This window comes from Homo sapiens, chromosome 1 (genome assembly GCF_000001405.40).
Source record: "Homo sapiens chromosome 1, GRCh38.p14 Primary Assembly".
Taxonomy (NCBI): domain Eukaryota; kingdom Metazoa; phylum Chordata; class Mammalia; order Primates; family Hominidae; genus Homo; species Homo sapiens.
This window is the reverse complement of record NC_000001.11, coordinates 207734227-207757982: the sequence shown is the minus strand read 5'-3', so window position 1 is coordinate 207757982 and position 23756 is coordinate 207734227. Positions and strand designations below refer to the sequence as shown.

At 40.9% G+C, this 23756-nt stretch overlaps 1 protein-coding gene across 17 annotated transcripts in view, besides 5 other annotated features; it reads right to left on the bottom strand.

The window, feature by feature from the left end:
• CD46 (CD46 molecule) overlaps positions 1-5945 on the bottom strand; it is a 43479-nt gene extending 37534 nt beyond the window's left edge. For 11 of the 17 annotated variants that reach the window (NM_172359.3, NM_172351.3, NM_153826.4 and 8 more), the window contains exons 1-3: positions 5674-5929; positions 781-969; positions 341-443 (exon numbers count right to left, since the gene is read on the bottom strand). In NM_172359.3, the coding sequence (NP_758869.1) occupies positions 341-443; positions 781-969; positions 5674-5770 (389 nt within the window). In that variant the 5' untranslated portion in view covers positions 5771-5929. Of the gene's footprint in view, positions 1-340; positions 444-780; positions 970-5673 lie in introns of all 17 variants that reach the window. The other 6 variants (NM_002389.4, XM_011509563.3, XM_047420888.1 and 3 more) reach the window with 1 other exon arrangement.
• Positions 5042-5399: a silencer, noted in NCBI's record as "fragment chr1:207925929-207926286 (GRCh37/hg19 assembly coordinates)". NCBI's record gives its function as "represses an EF-1alpha promoter that drives an FKBP-Casp9 reporter gene in an ReSE screen in K562 erythroleukemia cells {active_cell/tissue: K562}" and the evidence as "EXISTENCE:reporter gene assay evidence [ECO:0000049][PMID:32094911]".
• Positions 5669-5878: an enhancer, noted in NCBI's record as "active region_2449". NCBI's record gives its function as "activates an Ori minimal core promoter by ATAC-STARR-seq in GM12878 lymphoblastoid cells {active_cell/tissue: GM12878}" and the evidence as "EXISTENCE:reporter gene assay evidence [ECO:0000049][PMID:35858748]".
• Positions 5979-6088: a silencer, noted in NCBI's record as "silent region_1774". NCBI's record gives its function as "represses an Ori minimal core promoter by ATAC-STARR-seq in GM12878 lymphoblastoid cells {active_cell/tissue: GM12878}" and the evidence as "EXISTENCE:reporter gene assay evidence [ECO:0000049][PMID:35858748]".
• Positions 9565-9859: an enhancer, noted in NCBI's record as "tiled region #12474; K562 Activating DNase matched - State 5:Enh". NCBI's record gives its function as "activates a minimal TATA promoter and a strong SV40 promoter by Sharpr-MPRA in K562 cells {active_cell/tissue: K562}" and the evidence as "EXISTENCE:reporter gene assay evidence [ECO:0000049][PMID:27701403]".
• Positions 11287-11582: a transcriptional cis regulatory region, noted in NCBI's record as "candidate enhancer chr1.11362 targeted for multiplex CRISPR interference". NCBI's record gives its function as "positively regulates CD46 gene expression with high confidence in K562 cells {active_cell/tissue: K562}" and the evidence as "EXISTENCE:mutant phenotype evidence [ECO:0000015][PMID:30612741]".

The following is a 23756-nucleotide window of genomic DNA, read 5'->3' as shown; positions in this document are numbered from 1 at the left end:
TTCTCATTTTTGTGAGCCCTACTTCAACTCTAAGAGTTGGCAGATTTAAATAGGGGACACTCAGTTGTGAAGGACAAATTCTCATGATTACTACATTCTTAATGCTTACAACAGACTTATTGTCAGAAACAGCAAGTAGTTTTGCTTTCCTTAAATATCAATTACTTTCTATTTACTATATATCTTGCCTATCTCCATAAAACATCCAAGAGTTGTTTGGCTAGAAGTATAACTTGTCACATAGAAAGCAAAATTAAGTTTACAGGAATGCTTAAGAAGAGAAGCAAAACAAAAATAAAATTACTAACACTTCCCTTATTTCCTCTAAGGAGCAACTTACCCCTCATTACAAATAAAGTGCATCTGATAACCAAACTCGTAAGTCCCATTTGCAGGGACTGCTTGGCCATTTAAAGGATCCCGTATATATGGACATGTTTCTCCTGAAAGAAAATAATTTTGATAGTTTTCAATCCAGTTATAAAACAGATCTGAATCAAAATCAAAATTCTGCAGTGCTCTTTTGAATGGGTGGGAATATAATTTTCATTATTTACTTATTATAAGGGCAAACTTAAGATTCATATTCACCCAGGCAATCTATTGCCAGGAAAATGATTTCTTGGAGATTTTGATTTCTCAAAGCTTGCAAAAATGCATTGTTATCTTGAACCTCATTTTACAAGAAGAAAATCATCATCACCGTAGTGGAATATGTACCCCAAAATGTATGCAAATCTCTAGAGCAAGCAGAAAAAAAAAAGAGGTTTGTTTACTTACTATAACAGGCGTCATCTGAGACAGGTAGCCATGTATGATTCCGATCACAAATAGTATGGGTGGCAAGAGGAGGTATATAGAAGTATCCTTTTTTACACTTATAATCTACTCGTTCACCAATCTCATAGTAGGGTTTTGGTTTACCAATGAGCTCCATAGCTTCAAATGTTGGTGGCTCCTCACAGGCATCTAGGGATAAGAGAATAGGAACATGAAGATGAAGTACTGATATCACTTTCATCAGCCATGGACTGTGGTCTGGCAGCAGGTAGTACAGAAAAAACAGAAAGGCCCTTGGCAAGATTTTAAATGACTGTTCCATGCTTTTACCTGAGTGCTCATAGCAGTGGAGGAAATGGGACTTGCATGTTTTAAGTAACATCCTATTAGCTTTTGGTTTGTTTGGGAATAAACATTCGACAATAAACTGAAGAGACAGCATTAATGTCTTTGATCTTAAAATATATATGGATGCATCTTTCCCCACATTTTTCTAAATTCATTTCAAAAGTAACTTCTCCTCTAAGAAGTCTTCTACAGTATAGAGTACTCTGCTCAGATTGTTCTTCCATAGTTTAAAACACTAACTTATAACAGCTTGTCACTTCAGGGTGTCTTCTCTTAAAAGGCAAGTTCCTGGGGGTCAAGAACCATGTTCTTCTTTTTCTACTATACTCACCTTGTGGGTGCACAAGAAATGCTGACACTGACAAACTCTATCTGCAAATAAGTATTCAAGAAATTGTCTGCTACCGTGCCTGGGAAAATCAAAACAACCCTAGTTTGGATTCATGTTGTGCTAAGTCAAACAAAAGGCTCAAGTTGCCCTAAAAGGACAGGTAATAACGTGAAAGTCTGAATTTATGATGGTGAGTGTTTACTCCTGATGAGTCTGTTGCTTTTCAGAATTACTCACCCTGTGATTTAATCCTCTTCCTTCTTTCTTGCCTCCTTTGCCCTACTCTGCCACACTGAATAGCTTGGCAGTCCAGTAGTGTCACATCTTGGTGCCTTTGCTCACCTTGCTTCCTCTGCTCTGAATACCCTTCCTCCCTGGCTGGTAGCTACAACTCCTGCTCAACTCATCTTCCTTAATCCACCCATCATCTCCTCCAGGAAGCATTTTCTGCCTCCCCCTGGGAAGCAGTGATCAGTCACCTTCCCCTGGACTCTCCCCTGCATGGATCTCTCAGGTAACTATCACATGCTTTTGTGTTTAATAGTTAACAAGGCCAACTCCATTCATCCATGTGGCCACAACACCCAGCACAATATGTCACTCAGAGTAGCTATTCAAAAAAAATTTGGTATTCAAAATCCACTGCTGTCAAACACAAAACAATGTGAAGAATATATTGTAATCAATTTCATATTGAAAATAATCATTCTACAGCACAATGGAGAAAGAAGATTAGGCCATTTCTTGTGCTGCCTATCTCCCAGTCTTCTGGTATCCTGGCAGGTGACCAGATATGGACTGCTCTCTTTGCATTGTAGTATGCCCAGTAAGGAAACTGAGACGCTACTGTGTAAGTGCTTACTGATCTTGGCTTCTTTCACTGGAAATAAGGAAAACACCTAAAATAGGCAGAAGAGACCACGCACAACAGGAGATTGCGGGTTTTGTCCAAAAAAGCAGCTCCTCTTCTGGAGGAATGAGACTGGCCTGAAATTTGATACATGTTTCCTTCAACTATCTGGAACCATTTGGCAACTACCTTTGAGAGGGCAGGTCTCCCATGCACAGCACTGTCTGCTTACGAAACCTTCTCCTTGTGAGAGTGAGTTGCTCCAAAAATTGAATGTTTATTTTAATTCACGTATTCTCTCTGCCTAGCATCGTGACTTCTCATTTTTACTTTCTCTAGGTTTCATACCTGTCTTGATTTACCCTTATGAACCTCAAACTTAACCTTGCTTTTCCTTCTCTTCATTCTTAGTTTTGTTATTTTCCATGTTGCACCCTATTCATTTCATAATTCTATGTTCCTCTATTTCAAATCGCTTTCATTATCTTCTTCAGCTTCCTATTTTGTTTCTTTTTTTGTTTGTTTGTGTGTGTATGTGTGTGTGTTTTGTTTTGTTTTGAGACAGGGTCTCTTGCTCTGTTATCCAAGCTGGAGTATGATCAGGGCTCACTGCAGCCTTGACCATGAGGGGCTCCAGTGATCCTCCCCCTTCAGTCTCCCAAGTAGCTAGGACCACAGGCATGCAACATCACACCTGGCTAATTTTTTTTTTTTTTTTTTACATGTTTTGTATAGGTGAGGTCTGCTTATGCTGTCCAGGCTGAACTTCTAGCACTAAGCCTATTCTAAACATTAATCTTAAAAGAAAAAAAAAAAAGTCCTTTTGTTTTCTTCTTATCACCACTACTCCCTACTCCCATTACCCTCCTTCAAAATGAACGTTTTAATGATCAGTGAGATGCAAGACTGAAGTACTGGAAGCCCTGCAGAGTCAACAAATAGGGGAGACAGATCCTTTCTGGCTCTCAGCTGCCACTGCCCTAGCTTTTTAGGTACCGCAGAAAGACCATCCTGAGCATAGCTCTTTAAAGAACCTTCCTCTTGGAGGCAGGAGGAACTTTTTCCTAGGCTCTAAGCCCCAGCCAAATAGTATATTTAATTTTCTGGTATTTAACAGATACAGAGGTAAACAAATCGGGCTTTTGGAACCACAAGTGCGACAAGACAGACAGGATCCCTGCATTCTGACAGGGTGAGACAAAGAACAGAAAAGGTCATTTTAAAAGGGTGATTACAAGTGAAGAGGGACTTGAACTGGGTTGTATGTGTTCAACCTGAGATGGGGGGGTCGCGAGGTGGGGTGATCAGAGAAGGTCTCTGAGGGTGTAACATTCCAGCTGAGTTTGCAGAAGAGCGAGACTGTTTCTGCAGCAGGTCAGGAGGAGAATGTTCCTGGGCTGAGGGAACAGCAAGCACAGATGCCCCAAAGTCTGTTTGATGAGCAGAGAAGCCTTCCCTCTCTCCAATCATTTGTTAAATGCTGTCAGATTTATATCTGAAAATTATACTGCTTGCCTCCAGAGCACTTCCCTTGGTTCATAATTTATTTGTCACTATTATGTTTTGGATTTTAATGTCTGCCAATCCCAATACATTTTAGCAAATAATTTATTGGTTATCTACTGTGTTCCCGGCACTGAGCACTTATCATTGAGCAAAACAAAGTCCCTGCTTATCTTCCTGCATGAATGTGTGTGTAAACAAATAGTGAAAAAAGGATCAAGAAAATAGGAATGGTTTGTTATTGCCTACCAGTGTAATAGCACCAGACATACAAGACCCATATTCGTTGAATGAATGCTCCTAAGGAAAAAAATGCAACGTAGAAACTATACATGTTATTGGATCCTAAATATAATTTGGACATAGATACACATGACGCGCACATGAAGGCAGAAACAAATATGCCAAAATATTAAAAATAGCTGTCTTTTGATTCTGTTCGTATCGCACAATAAGCATGTATTTCTTAGCGGGTTTTTTTTTTGTTTGTTTGTTTTGTTTTGACAGGGTCTCACTCTGTCATCTAGGCTGGAGTGCAGTGGCATGATCACAGCTCACTGCAGCCTTCACCTCCTGGGCTCAAGTGAATCTCCTACCTCGGCCCCCAGAGTAGCTGGGACCACGGGCATAAACCACCATGCCCAGCTAATTTTTGTATTTTTTTGTAGAGACAAGGTTTTGCCATGTTGCCCAGGTTGATCTTGAACTCCTGGGCACAGGCAATCACCCCGCCTGGGCCTCCCAAAGCGCTGGGATCACAGGCGTGAGCCACTGCGCCTGGCCTAGCATGCATTTTTAAAAGTATTGATTCCATTCAATGAAATACAAAATAAATTTAGTGGGATAGGCCTTAAGCTTTAGCTTATGAGCTGCAGGGGAAAACAAGATTAACATTATCTGCCTTCCTTTGTTAGGATACTAATTTCTCACTAGGTTTGGCTACCATTGTTTTTTAGGTTGTTTCACATCTCTCAAATATGACTCAAAGTAATGAAAAGAAGGAAAACAATGTCAAAAAGCCATTAGGCAATGGAATCAGATACTATCTATATTGGTTGGGAACAGGAAGAAGACTCGATGGCCCACCCACCCCCCAAAAAAGCAGCCATTTACAAACTAATAGGAGCTCAGGTAACACGGAGACTGTTCACAGAAGGCACAAAAAGCATGGCGCGCCCTTACCACCTCTCTAACCCCAGGCACCGAGAGCCTGCTCTCACTCAACATGCCCTCCCTAGCCCCAGAGTCCGCGCTCACTCCATTCAAAGCAAACAGTTGAGCTGTCTTGCCCACAGTGAACTCTGCACACAGGCCACTTACGCACAGCACGCTCCCAGCAACACCTGGCCAGGCCCCTGCTCGCCCAGCCCAGCACATGGGGCACAGCAGACGCACTGCAACCCTTACCGCGGGTACTGTCCAAGCCCTAATGAACACCCCACTCACCAAGGCACCAAGGGAACACAGGGCAAACTCTCACCACGGACACAGCACGGGCCCTAGCAACACTCCCACGCACCTGTGCACTCCAGAACAAGCCCTCACCTAGGGCGCCCAGTCCGCGCTCCCCTGGCCGACTGGCTCAATCCCGAAAACACGATTCACGCTTTTTTTAGGGACGCAGCCAGATCCTGCGTAAATGCTGGCCGCGCACACGACGCCACCAAACAAGCTTCACCTCGGGCTCTGCGTGGTCCCCGCATTCCCCGCCACATACCCCCGGGATCTGAGCACTGCACCCCTCAGAGAACCCTGTCCCCAAACAGGCACGGCCTGCTGTGAGCCCCGCCCCGCGACTCTTGCCCGACTGAGGAGAGCTCTAGTCTCGCCGCGGACGCGCGAACCCGCCCCGGGGTCCTACCGGAGAAGGAGTACAGCAGCAACACCATGGCCGCCAGAAGCAACCCAGGAAAGCGCCAGGAAGGAAAGGGACACTCGCGGCGGCCGGGAGGCTCCATGCGCGGCGCGGAAGACGCTGTTATTTCTCCGGAGGAAAGCAGAGAAACCGAGAGCCAGCCGAGCAGGGAAGTCCCTTCTGGGTCCAGATATGGGACGCAACAATCCCCAACTCACAAAGCATCCAGTGCTGCAGGACAGGTGGGCGTGGCCCGAGCCGCGCCCGGGGCGGAAGTGCGTCGAGTCACCAGGGCGGCTGGGGCCAATCGGCGGGCCGCGGGGCGGAGCCTCGGCGTTCATGGGCAGCCCTTGGCCTTCGAGAGGTCAGGGGGAGGCCCTGGCGGAACCTAACAGAACAGGTTCCCCGAGGCCGCCTTTTTTCTTGCTAAGCCCTTGGCCTACCATCCCGGAAGCCTGAGGCGTCCTGCGGGAAAGGACTGGCTCGCCGTCATATTTGTGACCCAGGCAGGGTGGAGAGAAAACTAAGCTGCTTTGGTAATAGTTTCCGGGAATTCGGGAGTCAAGAATAAAGCACTTCGACCTAAAAATAGAGATCCAGAGTCTAGACAGGGGGTCACCGTGGGCTAGCACCCCTCAGGGTTAGTTTTATCCTGGGGCACTGCAGGCTGTCAGGACTGCCTGGGCCCTTACTTGGTATTTGGCATTAGTCAGGCATTATTGGGAACAATATTTGAGTTTTTCTTGCTTGAATGCCTGCTACTGGATCGTCTCGGGGCCGTCTTGTTTTCACAATCTCAAAGGTTTGGCTTCTGCACTCCCAGCCCCTAAGGTAATTTGCCCTTTGCTCCCCTCCCTGGAGGGGACCCTTCCGAATCTAATTTATTAAGCAACACCAGGCAATTAGAATATTGAGACTCTATGGGGCCCTTGCCCTTGAGCAACTAAATTTTTTATTGAAGACGAAATATACATGCATGAACAATGTAAGGACAAGGGTGTCCTAAGTGCCAAATTCCTGGAAGCAATAAATGCAGAAGGATTCGGATGGGTAGAAATTGTTAGGTGAAGAGTGGATAAGGGGGAGAACTTTTCTGGTGAAACAATCTGAGGAACAATACTGGAAAATTAAGAATGAGCAGGATTGATTTGTAGGATTGTGAGTAAACCGGAATGACCGGTAAAAGGAAAAGGACATGACTGACATTAAAAGAGCAAACAAAGAGTTGACATTTCTTCCCCTCAGATTGGCAAAGAATTAAAACGTCAGCCAATGTGAGTGAACGTGTTGCAGGGGGACCAGCACTCTGTAACATAACTTTTCAGTATGTTAAAAGTCTTAAAGTGGACATGACTTGTGTTAGGCTCTCAGTTCCCAGAGAAATCATCAGAGCTGTGATCAAAGCTCTGATGTGATCAAAACTCTGATGTGATTAATTTTTGAAAAAATGTAAACCCTAAGTGTCTAGCAAAAGTAATAAAGAATTTCTGGCAGTTACCTTTGTGTGATGGAATTCTATGCAGCAAATATTGCAAAAGAATACCAAATATGAGAAACTATGATATCATTGTAAGTGGAAAAAGCAGAGTCCAAACTGGCATGTGCCTTTTGGCAGTCCTTTTATTAAAACAAAAGTACCATATTGATATGTATAAAAAGAAACTAGGAATACAGCAAAATTAACAATGGTTGATAAGATTACAGATATTTCACTTTCCTTATGCTTTTCAGTTTTCTATGTTGACCTTATGTTACATTTAGAATAAAGTAAAGAAAATGTATTTAAAAAATCAAACCTATATATCAAGGGCTGTTTTGTTCATAGAATTATGGGAGCAGAACTTGTATTACACAGGGTTAACCTATGAGAGGACGGTGAGGAACTGGATGCTCAGTGTATAAACCTAAAATGGGTCTTATAGAATTATAGAGTTTAAGTGTATTTAACACAGTTTTATAACCGAGATGTACTGAACAATTTCTGGGTTCACCAAACCATGGAATTTCCTCTTCCTGTCCGACCAACAAAAATTTTTAAATTCTTGGCAGAGATTATAAGACATTAAGTGTGGAGGTGGTATATCAGATAAACATCTTAGTATCTTGGATTATAAAATTCAACACTCCATGACAGCAATTAAAGCGGGTATAATTAAAGAGATGGTAAATAGGAAACTCAATGCGGGAAAATTATTATTTCTGTTAATATATGGTGTCAAAGAGTGATATAACAGATATGTTCTGTGGCTCAAAGCCAGCCTTCATTTGTGAAAGTGGATAGTCTATTTACTGTTCTCAGCAACAATAAATATTAAAAATTCTCCATCCATTTTCAGGCTTGGAAGAAAAATGTCTTTTTTTCTCATGAGAAATTTTATTATAAACTATAGAAGAAAAAATAGTGCTAATGTTTGATTGCCTAGTTTCGGGTGTCAAATTAGATTCAAAGATTGGTATTTTGTTGAAATTTTCTTTCAATCAGTAAAATTTCTATCCCTGAGTTAAGCCATTCTTAACATACTCGAAGACTTTCACATTAAATATTTAAAACTTATTTTTATTTGATTCAACTGAGGCTTTATTTGAATGGCTGAGCCTTGTTCTCTACTTTTTGGATAAGTTTCGTGAGTCAGGGATAGCATTTTCTCATATCTACAGTGCCAAAATCTATAGTAGGTGTACAATGAATAACTGGTAAATATTGGATGAAATAAATGGTTCTTGTGGTCAAGTGCATTTAACATGTCTCTGCCAGTTCTCCCCCAGCATGAATTTACCAAATGCCCACAAAGTTCTGAGAGATTTTGATTTAAATAATTTTAACCCTAGGAAACAAATCAAGATTGGTCTGTAAAAGGGATGAGCTACAACTGTCTGCACAGCAAACTTTCCTAAATCAGGTGTTGCAAGCTTACTTGTGAAGTGGAGCTGTGGTCTATCCCTTAGCCTTGAGATCATTTTAGTGACTGAGTTCAAAGGGAGGGTGTCGACAGTGAACTTCCTGAGGCCTTAACAGGGGTAGAACTTGAAGCCAAAGCTTTGAATGAAGGGGATTTAGGAGATTAAACACTAATGTTTCCTCCAACTCCCCCTAAAGATTTTGCCAAACTGCCAAAGAGAAGAAAAGGAGAGAATGAGGATATGTGTGTTTGTAGACCAGGTTTAGAACTATGGAATCTCCTTTTAGGGGCTTATGAAGGGCAGTGTGGGTGGAGGCTGGTGTGCAGGGATGTCATTAAACTGTGGCCAACTCTTTTAAAGTTTGATGTTAGATGGTTCTTTGCCTCCTAAATTAGTATACTGTATTTGCATTATGCTTTTCAGGAGCAGGTGTAGTAGCATGAATGGGCCTCTATTTGCATCTACTAAGCACCTGCCAGCCAACTGACCTTTACGGTTAGCTGTGTCTGATCCTCTTTCCTGTTACTATCAAGAGCATTTTTGTGGCATTACATATCAACACAGGGATTATGAGAACAATCAGGTACAGAAAGAAGTGCATTTCTCAGAAGGAATGGGTAGTATTTTGTTTCCTCTTGGCTTTTGAAGGCTTTTAAAACATAAGTATATTAGAAACTATATTCCATAAGTAGATTTGCAAAATAAAAATATTTTACTCCTTTCTCATTGTAATGGTAGAGACAGAAAATTTCATTTAAGCCTCATAAACTTTACACACTTAGTGTGCCAAAACAGCAAACAAAACAAAGAATGTTAGGGCTAGGAATAGCTTCAGAGAGCAATTGGTGTCCAGCCCCTGCTGATAGGGCTCCAATGTGTGAAGGAACACCAGGTTCTTCATCTCGCATTGAATTGGAAAAAAACGAGATGGGCACACGTGGAGTGGTTTTAAGGAGTGGAGAGTTTAGTAGGCAAAAAAGAAGGGAGAAGAAAGAAGGAAGAAGCTCCCCTGTACAGAGACAGAGACGGGGGCTCCAAAGCTGAGAGTGGAGACCTCAAGTGGGGCAGAAACCAGCCAGGTATACATAGGCTGGAGGAGGCGGTGCCTGATTTGCATAGGGCTCAGCGGATTGGTTTCAGTAGGCATGTCATTCACATAGCCCGGGAAAAAACTGGCCTTGCCACCCTAGTCTATTAATATGCAAATGCAGGGCACCATGATGTTCTACCCGTGTGGGGATAGGTGGGGCCATGTTGCCAGGCACATGTCAGCGCAAGGGCAAGAGGACAACCATGGGAATCATCATGTTGGGTAGACCCAATTTCTAATGGCCGGTATCTGCATACCTAAGGTTGCCTGCTTGGCTCTAAGGGCCTGGGCTTTCCTTCTTGACAAGAAACTTTTCTGGAGCTGCTTTAAAAGAAATGAAAACTTTCCAAGGACCGCTTTTCCTCTCTATCTGCCTAAAATAATTTCTTAGTAACTCCTATCACATTCCCCCCAGCCCCCCATGGAGACAACCTAATTGCTGTTAGGGGGTTATTGGGTGACGACTTTTTCTGGCTACTTCCTGCTGAAAATGGACGTTGAATGGGGAACAGCAGCTAGGGCTCTTCCTGGGGTCTGTCTAAGGGTTCTTGGAAATAGGGCGTGTCCACGCGTGATCCAGTTTATAACACCCATTTGGAATTTGGTTGCTTCTAGAGGAGAAGAAACAATTTGAGTTACAGTATTGAGTATACAGGGTTCAAGTATTAATACAAGACATATAAGCAAGAGAGGGCTTAATAAAGGGTTTAACCAATTCCATAAAGAAGACTGGAATTCATTAAAGAGGGACTGTAGCCACCCAGGGCTAAAGCCTGCATTTTTCCTGAGCTTGTTAATGATTTTGATTTGATCTTTAAGTAACTGTAGGTTTTCCTGTACTTTAGTAGAGGTGTTAATCCAGAAGCAGCATGTTTTATTTAGAAGTGCATCACTAATCCCAATAAAAAGTCCTAGCAGACTCAGTAAAACTTTGATGCTTCCTTCTTGTCAGTAACTATTATCCCTCCTATAAGGATAATAATTAAGCAACATATACAGCAATGGAAACTTTCTGTCCAATATTTCAGTTAGAAGGTGCTACCATGTATAACCCTATCACAAACAGTAGAGTGAGTATAGCAATTCCCACAAGTGTGGTGTAGTAGATAATTTCCATCTAAAATTTTACTTTCTAAGATACACAATTTCCCTTTGGGATTTATGAAGTTCATTGGTTTTATTTCCCCATAAAAGGAAACCTCCAGTTTATGGGCACCCTACTCACTTTCATTACCTGGCAGAATTTGCAGGATAATTGCCCAGAACTAGCATATTGATCCAGATTTTTACATTACGCATCCTTTTTTGTTTCTTCCAAGCTGCAGGAGATCACTTGATTTACAGGAATAAGCAGAGTTAGTTTAAAATGTAGGCAAAAAACTTAAAGACAATTAATGAAACTAGGATTTAATGACAAATGTATGATAAACTTTGGAGCACAATTTCTCTCTCCAGTTCTCATTTTTGGTAAAAACAAATTATGATAGGACCGTGTGTGTTGTTCGTAGAATAAACTTTAGTCTTATACCTGGCCTGATTATTTGCATAAAGTGCAGCAAGAATGGTTATTTCTACATAGGCCTTTTGGATTGGTTTTGATGAAACTCTGTTCCATAAGGACTTCCAGATAAGACTTTCAGAGCCAAGTCCACCATGGGTTTGTATCCACAAATACCTGTGAGTTGGGTGATCCTCACCTCTTGAGATCCCAAGATAAACTCAGAGCTCCCAGACCTGTTAGAAAGTGACATTCTTTACTGACCACAGGTTAGGAACCATGTGCAGGGACTGTGTGTAGATAAGGTATGAGGCCAGTTCTCCCCAAGGGCCTTTCATTGGCTCTGCATGTCAAGCTTGATTCCTTAAAGGGGAACACATCCTTTCAGTCAAAGCCTTGGTAAAATAACCAGTTTTCCCAATTGTGTCCTGTTGCCAAAAAAAAAAAAACAAAAAAAAAGGATTCTTATTGCACTGATGCAAACAACTATACTGCCATAAGTTAAGAGTACTCACAGACAGATAGTCTCCAAATTCCGGAGGAACCAGGCAGAGAAAAATAAACATGCTCCAAATTTTGTTCACAGTAGTAAAACTTACTCAATTATTAAAGGCCATAAATAGCTTAAAATAAGTTTCCTTGACTCTGAAAAACAAAACAAGGATCAGCAATATTCCAAGCAAAAGTTAAAAATTTTGCTTTAACTTTCTGAATACAGTCCCTTTAGTTAACTCTTGTTTTGCTTGATATCTGCGAATATGTCAGTTTTTTATGAGTCCCGTACGTCCTTTCTCTATTCCTGTGTTACAGTGTTCAAAGCTATTAAAAGCTATTAGAAACCTGCATTTGAGAACACCTGTTAAAGTCCTTAATATAGCTTGGTTATGAACCGTTTTTTGAGAAGGAATAAAGCAAGACAACAATTGTCTGTGAATGGCAAAATTTCCATGATAGTTACAGTTAAAAACACGACTGAAAAAGAAGTTTATTTATCTCAATGGCTACCAATAATTTTACCCTTAATTATGACTGATAGCATATACTTAGACATTAGAATTTTGGAAATCCTATATAATTTTGGAACATATATTCATCAAAATATGCTTAAAATAAGATTGGACATCATTTTGGCAATCTCATGTGACTAAACTTGTCAAATAATCATGTTTACCTCTTTTCTGAATGTTTCAGGGGCCCTCTGAACGATCCAAAAAGCCAGCCCTCAGGAAGGAAAATTTTGAAACTTGAAGTTTGATTTTGAGATGACTGTTAAATGTTAGAGGTTTTGAACACTTGATGTTATGAAATAGAATTCCAGATTGCCATAAATTATTTTGCCAAAATGATGACTCAAAAGGCAAAAATGTTTCATTAGCCTTTACTGTGACATGGAAATCCTGTTCAAAGACAAATTTTACCCTTGCATTAGTTTGTTAATGTTAACCCCAATTTGTTTAAATGAAACCTTATAGATTATTCCATCTAATCTTAACCAATTTGACCATGAGGTAAAAGCTTTACAAACCTTTTATAACCCTTTTACTAAAGGGCAGATTAGTGTTTTAAGACCTCCTTGCTATACTTCTATTTCAATGCTCAATTTATGAAAAGACCATATAGATACTATGGGGGAAGACAGTGTAGTGCTTCTATCATGTATTTTATTGCAAGGCACCCCAAAGCCAATCGGCTTATTTTGTAATTAGCCCATCCCCCATGGGAGTCTCATCTCTTAGTTGGGGGTGGGGTGGGGTGGGGATGTTTCCATATCTTTCAGGTGGCCAAGAGCATGCTTCTCTGATTTATAACTACTATTAGCCATCCCTTAAAGTATATTTCCTACCTAGTTCCTACACACCAAAGCTCTCTCATAATGGGAAGTAATTTTTGATACCCCAAAACTCAAAACCATCAGATAACACAATGCAAAACAGAACACAGCCTTTGATTTTGAGAGGGATCTATCTTCTTTTAACTCCTGGGATCTCGTGAGGAAAACATGTTTTTTTTTTTGTTTGTTTTGCAAAGTGGCGCCTTTGGTTTTTCCCAAGGAATCTCATGCTATCAGAAGTTTTCCCAAGGAGTCCCATGCTACCGGAAGTTATCTTAGGGCCTCTCATGCATGCATTAAGAGTGGTAAGACAAAAAATGGAGAAAAATAATTCAGCTGACAGAAGAAAAGAGCCTTTTTCCAGAAAAACTTTTAAATATACCTATAACTTGAATATCCACTTTTAATTAAGCTGAGCACTCTTTAAGAAAATTCTTTTAAATTCCTCGTTACTTGACTTTAGCCACACCAAGCAGTTAAGATTTTTGGCTTTTTAACCTTACAAAAAGTCACCTCACAGGTTAAACCGACAAGGCTTAAGTAGGTTATGATTTAACCACAAGTGTACAAGGTATTATTTAAGGGGAGATAGGCAGCTTTTGAAACTGTCATTGCAAAATTGTGACTGAGACAGTGAAAGAGATCCAACCGAAGCAACTCCATTTTTTTTTCCAGCCCCCAAGCTGTCCTTGCCCATCCCTGGGCATAGACTGAACCAACTTTGTGAGGAGCCTGGTTTACAGTGTATAGTTTAAAACAAAGATGATAACCGCCCCTTGTTAAGATATACTTCCCTCTTGCCGGGGTACCAGACCAAGAAACTAGCCATAAGATTAGAAACTGTGGCTTAGGGGTCATGCAGCTGGAGGCTACAAGATTTTGACCCTCTCAAGATGAGTGCTTAAGATATTTTGTAAACCCTGCTCACCCTGGCACCATCCAGATTGACAAACTGTCTTATCTGACTTTGTGGCCCTCACCCAGGAACTGACTTAGCACAAGAAGACAGCCACCATTGTAAAATGGCAGAAACTAAAACAATGTATTGCCATGCAGTTATAGGTTATGCTCCTAAGGACATGAAACAAGATGGAGGCCTGTAGCCAAGTTTGTTACTGACAGTTTTGTTGGGCTGGGTTGAACAGCAGGCTTATGGGGTCCTGGGCCTGCATCCTAACCTAAGGGTACCCTTTCTTTGACAGAACCATACAGAAAGACATGCAAAGCACATCAGATTGTCTACAGCTTAAGACCAACCTCACAAATCCTTTTTCATTAATTATAAATTCACAGAGAATATAAACTATGATCCTTATTATCCCGTTTACTGGTTTGCACAGGGAGAGAGAAGCCAAAAGCCTGACTAGTAAGAAATTTTTACCCTTTTGCCAACATATCAGGCTTCTGGGTTCCCTTCCCCCTAGCTCAACTCTAAGCCAAGCATTTTAAGGTTTGGAAAATTAACCTTTCCTAGGTTGGAAGAACATTATAAAAGAGAGAGAATCCATTTTAAACCACAAAAGAAGTAAAAACACTTTAGAAAGGAGTTCCAATTAGGGTTGCCAATGGTGTTTCCCCTATTTCTTTGCCTTCCCTGTTTTCTCTTTTCCCTTTTGGCCTACTACAGGAGACATATTGCTCATCTCCAAAATTCTCTTCTGCTTGCAGAGCTTCCTGTTTTAGCTGTAGTTAGAGTTTGGCTTAGGAGGAGCATAACATTCCTCCATGAGAGGTCAAATACCTGAGTTAAATTTTGGAAAGCTTCTATCTACCTATCAGTGTTGTCAGAAAATCAGCCTAAGACTCCTTTTACTTGTCTGAGGCCCTGCAATGAGAAGGGAACGTGAAGGGCCCCCAAATAAGGGGGATCCTCAGATGGTTCCCCTGGAACTTGCTTCTTTAATTTTGGGGAAGTAAAAAGGCCATGCCCTTGTGCAAAAGAAAATAGGCCACTTTTACTTCAAAGTTTCTGGGTTGAAAGAGTCCCAGTGCTTTAAAATACACTCCAGGGGAGTGCATGTTAAAAGATGATTTGTTACCCAACTAGAAAGAGAAGTGAGAATAAAAGCATCCTTTTAGTCTCCTTCCTTTCGGTATGTGATCCAGGATGGAGAGAAAAACAGTAGAGGGCGTCCCCCCAACTATATTCCCTCTGGGGTTCCTGGATTCCCAGCACTCGTTTAAATGTGCCACCCATGACTGCAGGCGTGACCCCCCAAGCCATGGCACTAGAGGAACTAAACTTTTGGACCTTAGGCATGCCGTCCCCAAGCAGTCTTAGTCCTCTACCTTTTATTTCCCTTTGACGTTCTAGACTGGTGTGGCCTGTGTTCCTTCCTAAATGGATCTCAAGAAAAATCACATAATTGGGCAAGGTCCCTGTAAGGGAGGGGGTGTGCTAGATTGAACTCTATATCCTGCTATTATAGCCCGTGCTAAAGCATTTACCCATAGAAAAATGGTTCCGGTTAATTTCTGGACTTAAAATTCCCTCACTAATTAAGTACCATCTTAATAGGAGACAGAATACATGCCTTAAAGAAATGAAGGAACTGAATGTTCGTTTTTCTGCCAGTGCGACAATATCGAGACTAAAATTTGGCTACAAAAGACATCTTACTCCTAACTGTTAAAAGCAGAGCTTTCCCGTCCACAGAAGTATCAGTAGAAAAGTGCAAAATGAAAAAGTTGCGAAGCTGCAAGTTACCACAGAGAACCAGCAATGTGTCTCATAAAGAGGATTTTTATTTTCACTAGGTGGCTTAGAAATACCATGTGCTTGCCACAGAAACCGTAGAGAGTAAGAGACATTTATTGAATTACTGCCTGCCATGATTCGTGATCTTTTCTAACAGAACTGTTTCCCTGAACTGTAAAGATTCCTGCACATTAGACACACACAGAGAGGGTAAGAGACCGCAGATAGAGAAAGTTTGGCGACAGGGTAGCTGGAAGAGAGCCTTGAGATTAAAGGACAGATTTAAAGTTGAGATCCACTCCATACTCACCAGTCTGATGAATGAATTTCTTTTGCTGGCCCATGCACCAAAATGATACAGCTCTGAGGAGTGGAGGTGAGAGACAGGACTAGCTGGATTTCCTAGGCCAACTAAGAATCCCTAAGCCTAGCTGGGAAGGTGACCACTTTCACCTTTAAACACGGGCTTGGAACTTAGCTCACGCTTGACCAATCAGATAGTAAGGAGAGCTCACTAAAATGCTAATTAGGCAACAACAGGAGGTAAAGAAATAGCCAATCATCTGTTGCCTGAGAGCACAGCAGGAGGGACAGTGATCGGATATAAACCCAGGCATTCAAGCCGGCAACGACAACCCCCTTTGGGTCCCCTCCCTTTGTGTGGGAGCTCTGTTTTCACTCTATTTCACTCTATTAAATCTTGCCGCTGCACTCTTCTGGTCTGTGTTTGTTACGGCTTGAGCTGAGCTTTCGCTCACCGTCCACCACTGCTGTTTGCCGCCGTCGCAGACCCACCGCTGACTTCCATTCCTCCGGATCCGGCAGGGTGTCCGCTGTGCTCCTGATCCAGAGAGGCACCTACTGCCACTTCCAATCGGGCTAAAGGCTTGCCATTGTTCCTGCACGGCTAAGTGCCTGGGTTCATCCTAACCGAGCTGAATACTAGTCACTGGGTTCCACGGTTCTCTTCCAGGACCCACGGCTTCTAATAGAGGTATAACACTCACCACATGGCCGAAGATTCCATTCATTGGAATCCATGAGGCCAAGAACCCCAGGTCAGAGAACACGAAGCTTGCCGCCATTTTGGAAGTGGCTCGCCACCATCTTGGGAGCTCTGGAAGCAAGGACCCCCAGTAACAGAGGAACCTGTTGGTTCTTCGTCTCATATTGAATTGGGAAAAATGACACGGACACACATGGGGTGGTTTTAAGGAGCAGAGAGTTTAATAGGCAAGAAAGAAGGAAGAAGCTCCCCTTTACAGAGACAGAGGGAGGGGGGCTCCAAAGCCAAGAGAGGAGACCCCCCACATGGGATGGAAAATAGCCAAATATATGTAGAGGCTGGAGGAGGTGGTGTCTGATTTGCATAGGGCTCAGGGGATTGGTTTGACCAGGGATGTCATTCACATAGACTGAAAAACTGGCCTTCCCACCCTAGCTTTTAATATGCAAATGCAGGACACCAAGATGTTCTACACGTGGTGAGATATGTGGGGGCAGCCATGTTGTCAGGCACACGTCAGGGCTAAGGCAAGAGGAAAACGGTGGAAATCACCATGTTGGGTGGACCCAGTTTCTAATGGCTGGCATTTGCTTGTTAAAGGTTGCTGGCCCAGCTCTAAGAGCCAGGGCCTTCCTGCTAGACAAGAAACATTTCTGGAGCTGCTTTAAAAGAAACAAAAACGTTCCAAGGACCCCTTTTCGTCTCTATCTGCCTAAAATAATTTCTTAATAACTCCTATCACACTGCTTTTCAGATGTAAATGTAAGGTCAAAGGTCAGCAGAATTGTTTAATAATACAAGTTAGGCAATATAGTATTTTACTCATAGTATATACAGTATTTCCCATTATAAATGATGTAATCGAAAACAAACCTTTTGGCTTTCTTGCAATTAAAAAGTCACAGGTGAGGTTGCAGTGAGCCTAGATTGCACCACTGCACTCCAGCCCCAGGGCAAGACCCTGTCTCCAAAACAAAACAAAACAGAAGTCAGAGGCATTGCATATTTATTAATCATATTGCTCAGTGACCTACTCCATTCTGGAAAATAAAGAACCCAGGATTTTTTTTCTTGTGTTGGGAAATTTTCATTCTAAAAAAGGCCAATTCCCAAGCATTTAGTTTTAAGTCCTCTTTTAAAAGTTACTTCTTCAAAATCCCAAGAAATAAAAGAGATTTGCTAAAGATCCAGCTAAGCAAAAGTCCTATCAAGTATCTCTATATATATTCACTGGCTACTTGCCCTTCTTTCTTGGTGACCTACCTGTATGTCCTTTATCTATTTTTGTGGGGTGGAGAGAAGTTTGGTCTTTGAATTTTTAAGTACTCTCTAAATAATAAAGCAATTACCCTTTGTGGTATAAGTTGCATGTTTTTTTTCTTGCAGTTTATCAGTTGATTTTTCTTATGGTTTTTTTTTCCTATCTTGCATGATTTTAAACTGAAATTCAAGTTCATGTCTATCTCTTTATATCGTTCTCAAAGTAAATGTAGCCGAATTCACCTTTAAAGCAACTATTAAACAGAATTACACAGAAATGAGCAGTAGTCATATATAAAGCTATTATTAAATAGCCAGAAATATTCTGATGTTTTTTAGAGGTCATTCGCATAGCCCATAATAACATAAATTTTTGATCTCTAAAGATGTAGACTGGTTAAAGAACACAAGGTCACTTATTTTAAAAATGTCAGAACATGTTTATTATTTTGATAAATATTTTAAAAGTGCTTTTAAAAGTTCGTATATTCTGAATTCATAAAAAGCTACTTACTTTTATAATAACAATCATTTCAAATTTCATTATGTTTTTTATAGAGAACATAGCACAGAGAGCTTTTGAAATAAAGCTTAGAAAATATCCAAAGCTGGCCAGGCACGGTGGCTCACGCCTGTAATCCCAGCACTTTGGGAGGCTGACGCGGGCGGATCATGAGGTCAGGAGATTGAGACCATACTGGCTAATATGGTGAAACCCCATCTCTACTAAAAATGCAAAAAGTTAGCTGGGCATGGTGGCGGGTGCCTGTAGTTCCAGCTACTTGGGAGGCTGAGGCAGGAGAATCACCTGAACCCGGGAGGTGGAGGTTGCCGAGATCATGCCACTGCACTCCAGCCTGGGCGACAGAGCAAGAATCCGTCTCAAACAGAAAGAAAGAAAGAAAATATTGAAAGCTTATTTTCCAAATATTTCTCTTGAGTAGTCTTAACCGCTCTTCCCATGATCACTTCATGCCTTTCTAGTAAATTAATTTTTCTCCCTAGAGAAAGTAAAAACTGATATAGTATATATTTCACTCTAAACTCTTTAAAAGACTAGGGTTCTGCTCTATAAAATAAAAGGAAACTAAGGGGGGAAAAGTACGTATGTGAAAAAACACATATGTGAAAGAAGATAGGCAGAAAATGAATCAAAATATTAGGAGTGGTTATCAGTGGTAGCATAATTATAAGTGACTTATTTTTCATAACTTTCTGCATTTTCCAAGCTCTCCTTACTGAGCCCATTCCATATTACAAATATTTTAAAAAAGAACAATGACCACCTTACAAACCAGAAATTCCAGGCAACACCTTATTCCTTTAAGTAATCCAAACTATTTTCTATCTCCTAAATGCAGTCTTTTCCCCTGACTAGATACTGTGTACGTTTAGCACAAGGCAGAAGGGTGGGGGTTTCACAGTGACGCACACAAAGAGGGAGGAGCTTTGCTAGGTACCGGGGAAGGGGCAGCATCTTCAAGTGCACATGTCTGCGTCTCTGTGAAGTCACTTCAAAGACTTTATGAAGCTCAGATCTGATTCTGTTGAAATCAATTGGCTCCTTTCCAACCAAAATTGTATTCGAGATGTTCTTCAGCTGTATAGTACTTTGTCAAGGAAGGTCCCTAAAATAACAGGATGTTTTCATTTAATTAACAGCATGGTCCACAATTGAATTACCCAGAATTTACAAGCTGATAATCATGATGCTAGCATTCCATATAAATTACAAGGTCATTAGAAGTGTTTATTGCCCTCTGTGATGACTGCTATGTAGGACATAGAAAATATGGCGTAAATGGAGACATCAGTAGATAAGAGAGAGATTAATGATTAACTTGACCTTTTCCTTTTTTAATTTTGTCCAAAGAAAAAGTGTTCTCAGAGTTGAGCTACTAAATAAAGAGCCTCATTCCATTCTAGAAAACGTACAGGTCACTCATAACAGAAGAAATTTTTTTGAGTCTCTTGCTCTAAACCACAGTTGTAGCAGGGGACAGAAATAGGAACTGGTCATCTTGGAGGGAGTCAGCTTCAGAAAGCATGTCCTCCTCTTTTAATTACAATCAAGAATGAGCTACGACAGTGGATTTATTACAAGGTATCCACATGCTTCCCCAGCCGTGCTGGAGCCTCTCCTTTTAAGGCCGGGAATGGTGTCCTTCCACCAAGGGACACCCCTCCTGATGAGGCCTCCAGCTCATCTGTTCCCCGGTTATTACGGCCACCAGATTCCTCATCTTCGTTCTCCTTCCATTTCACAAGACTTCCCAGCATCACCTGTTACCTGTATTCCTCCAAACACTCTCATGTCCAACACACAGCTATGTCTTTGGAGCCTGCCTCTTCACTCTGCCCCAGAACCTGGGTGCACAAGGTCTTAACGCTTGGCACAGATTCTAACTCACTTCTTGACTAGCATATTTTGCCACAGATGATTCACTTTGTTCCCATGGAACACTGTGGTCAAAATTCCAATCTTAAAAGGGAAAGTTGAAACAAATTTTTTTTTTTTTTTTTTTTTTTTTTTTTTTTTTTTTTTTTTTTTTGAGACGGAGTCTCGCTCTGTCGCCTAGGCTGGAGTGCAGTGGCGGGATCTCGGCTCACTGCAAGCTCCGCCTCCCGGGTTCACGCCATTCTCCTGCCTCAGCCTCCCAAGTAGCTGGGACTACAGGCGCCCGCCACTACGCCCGGCTAATTTTTTGTATTTTTAGTAGAGACGGGGTTTCACCGTTTTAGCCGGAATGGTCTCGATCTCCTGACCTCGTGATCCGCCCGCCTCGGCCTCCCAGAGTGCTGGGATTACAGGCGTGAGCCACCGCGCCCGGCCGAAACAAAATTTTTAAGGACTTTATACCTAGTAAAAGGTGATCAGTAGTTAGTGTACACAACTTCAAGTGTACTTTGATATAAAAGAGTATTTCCAAAAAGATGAGGATAACTGAAATTTTCATAAATTCATTTCTCAACTGTTTAACATGCTCAGTTGATTACTGAATATTTCTCATTTGATTATATTCAGAGATTTGGGGAGTTTTTTTTTAAATTAATTTCTCTCCCTAGAGAAAGTAAAAACTGATATAGAATATATTTTTGAAAAAATGTCTCCTCATCAGAAGGTAATTTAATATGGGAAAGAAAACACACATAAGCACAATGTATGGTACACTGTAAGTGGCTAAGAATATTTTAAGAGTAAATAAGCAAGGAAATGAATGCAATACAGTTAACAGGCAACAAAAAAAACACATGAAATGTCAAGTGGATATATACTGTTATCATGATGGGTGAAATGTTTGTCATTTGGTGAAAAAAGAGCAGGATTCAATATTGAACAATCAATATAATCTCAAAGTGTACATGCAAATATAAAATAATATGCAAAGAAGCTTAAGAATAATACTAGGTAGAGATTATTGCAGGTAATTTTTACATTCATTTATATTTTCCCCTATTTCTTATTTTTAATAATGATGAGATATTACTCTTAAAATAAATTAGTTTATTTTTATTTTTTTATTTTTTTTAAGTTTTTTTTCTTTTATTATTATACTTTAAGTTTTAGGGTACATGTGCACATTGTGCAGGTTAGTTACATATGTATACATGTGCCATGCTGGTGCGCTGCAACCACTAACTCGTCATCTAGCATTAGGTATATCTCCCAGTGCTATCCCTCCCCCTTCCCCCCACCCCACCACAGTCCCCAGAGTGTGATGTTCCCCTTCCTGTGTCCATGTGATCTCATTGTTCGATTCCCACCTATGAGTGAGAATATGCGGTGTTTGGTTTTTTCTTCTTGCGATAGTTTACTGAGAATGATGTTTTCCAATTTCATCCATGTCCCTACAAAGGACATGAACTCATCATTTTTTATGGCTGCATAGTATTCCATGGTGTATATGTGCCACATTTTCTTAATCCAGTCTATCATTGTTGGACATTTGGGTTGGTTCCAAGTCTTTGCTATTGTGAACAATGCCACAATAAACATACGTGTGCATGTGTCTTTATAGCAGCATGATTTATAGTCCTTTGGGTATATACCTAGTAATGGGATGGCTGGGTCAAATGGTATTTCTAGTTCTAGATCCCTGAGGAATCGCCACACTGACTTCCACAATGGTTGAACTAGTTTACAGTCCCACCAACAGTGTAAAAGTGTTCCTATTTCTCCACATCCTCTCCAGCACCTGTTGTTTCCTGACTTTTTAATGATTGCCATTCTAACTGGTGTGAGATGGTATCTCATTGTGGTTTTGATTTGCATTTCTCTGATGGCCAGTGATGATGAGCATTTTTTCATGTGTTTTTTGGCTGCATAAATGTCTTCTTTTGAGAAGTGTCTGTTCATGTCCTTCACCCACTTTTTGATGGGGTTGTTTGTTTTTTTCTTGTAAATTTGTTTGAGTTCATTGTAGATTCTGGATATTAGCCCTTTGTCAGATGAGTAGGTTGTGAAAATTTTCTCCCATTTTGTAGGTTGCCTGTTCACTCTGATGGTAGTTTCTTTTGCTGTGCAGAAGCTCTTTAGTTTAATTAGATCCCATTTGTCAATTTTGTCTTTTGTTGCCGTTGCTTTTGGTGTTTTAGACATGAAGTCCTTGCCCATGCCTATGTCCTGAATGGTAATGCCTAGGTTTTCTTCTAGGGTTTTTATGGTTTTAGGTCTAATGTTTAAGTCTTTAATCCATCTTGAATTGATTTTTGTATAAGGTGTGAGGAAGGGATCCAGTTTCAGCTTTCTACATATGGCTAGCCAGTTTTCCCAGCACCATTTATTAAATAGGGAATCCTTTCCCCATTGCTTGTTTTTGTCAGGTTTGTCAAAGATCAGATAGTTGTAGATATGCGGCGTTATTTCTGAGGGCTCTGTTCTGTTCCATTGATCTATATCTCTGTTTTGGTATCAGTACCATGCTGTTTTGGTTACTGTAGCCTTGTAGTATAGTTTGAAGTCAGGTAGCTTGATGTCTCCAGCTTTGTTCTTTTTGCTTAGGATTGTCTTGGCTATATGGACTCTTTTTTGGTTCCATATGAACTTTAAAGTAGTTTTTTTCCAATTCTGTGAAGAAAGGCATTGGTAGCTTGATGGGGATGGCATTGAATCTGTAAATTACCTTGGGCAGTATGGCCATTTTCACAATATTGATTCTTCCTACCCATGAGCATGGAATGTTCTTCCATTTGTTTGTATCCTCTTTTATTTCCTTGAGCAGTGGTTTGTAGTTCTCCTTGAAGAGGTCCTTCACATCCCTTGTAAGTTGGATTCCTAGGTATCTTATTCTCTTTGAAGCAATTGTGAATGGGAGTTCACTCATGATTTGGCTCTCTGTTTGTCTGTTGTTGGTGTATAAGAATGCTTGTGATTTTTGTACATTGATTTTGTATCCTGAGATTTTGCTGAAGTTGCTTATCAGCTTAAGGAGATTTTGGGCTGAGAAAATGGGGTTTTCTAGATATACAATCATGTCATCTTCAAACAGGGACAATTTGACTTCCTCTTTTCCTAATTAACTACCCTTTATTTCCCTCTCCTGCCTAATTGCCCTGGCCAGAACTTCCAACACTATGTTGAATAGGAGTGGTGAGAGAGGGCATCCCTGTCTTGTGCCAGTTTTCACAGGGAATGCTTCCAGTTTTTGCCCATTCAGTATGATATTGGCTGTGGGTTTGTCATAGATATCTCTTATTATTTTGAAATACGTCCCATCAATACCTAATTTATTGAGAGTTTTTAGCATGAAGGGTTGTTGAATTTTGTCAAAGGCCTTTTCTGCATCTATTGAGATAATCATGTGG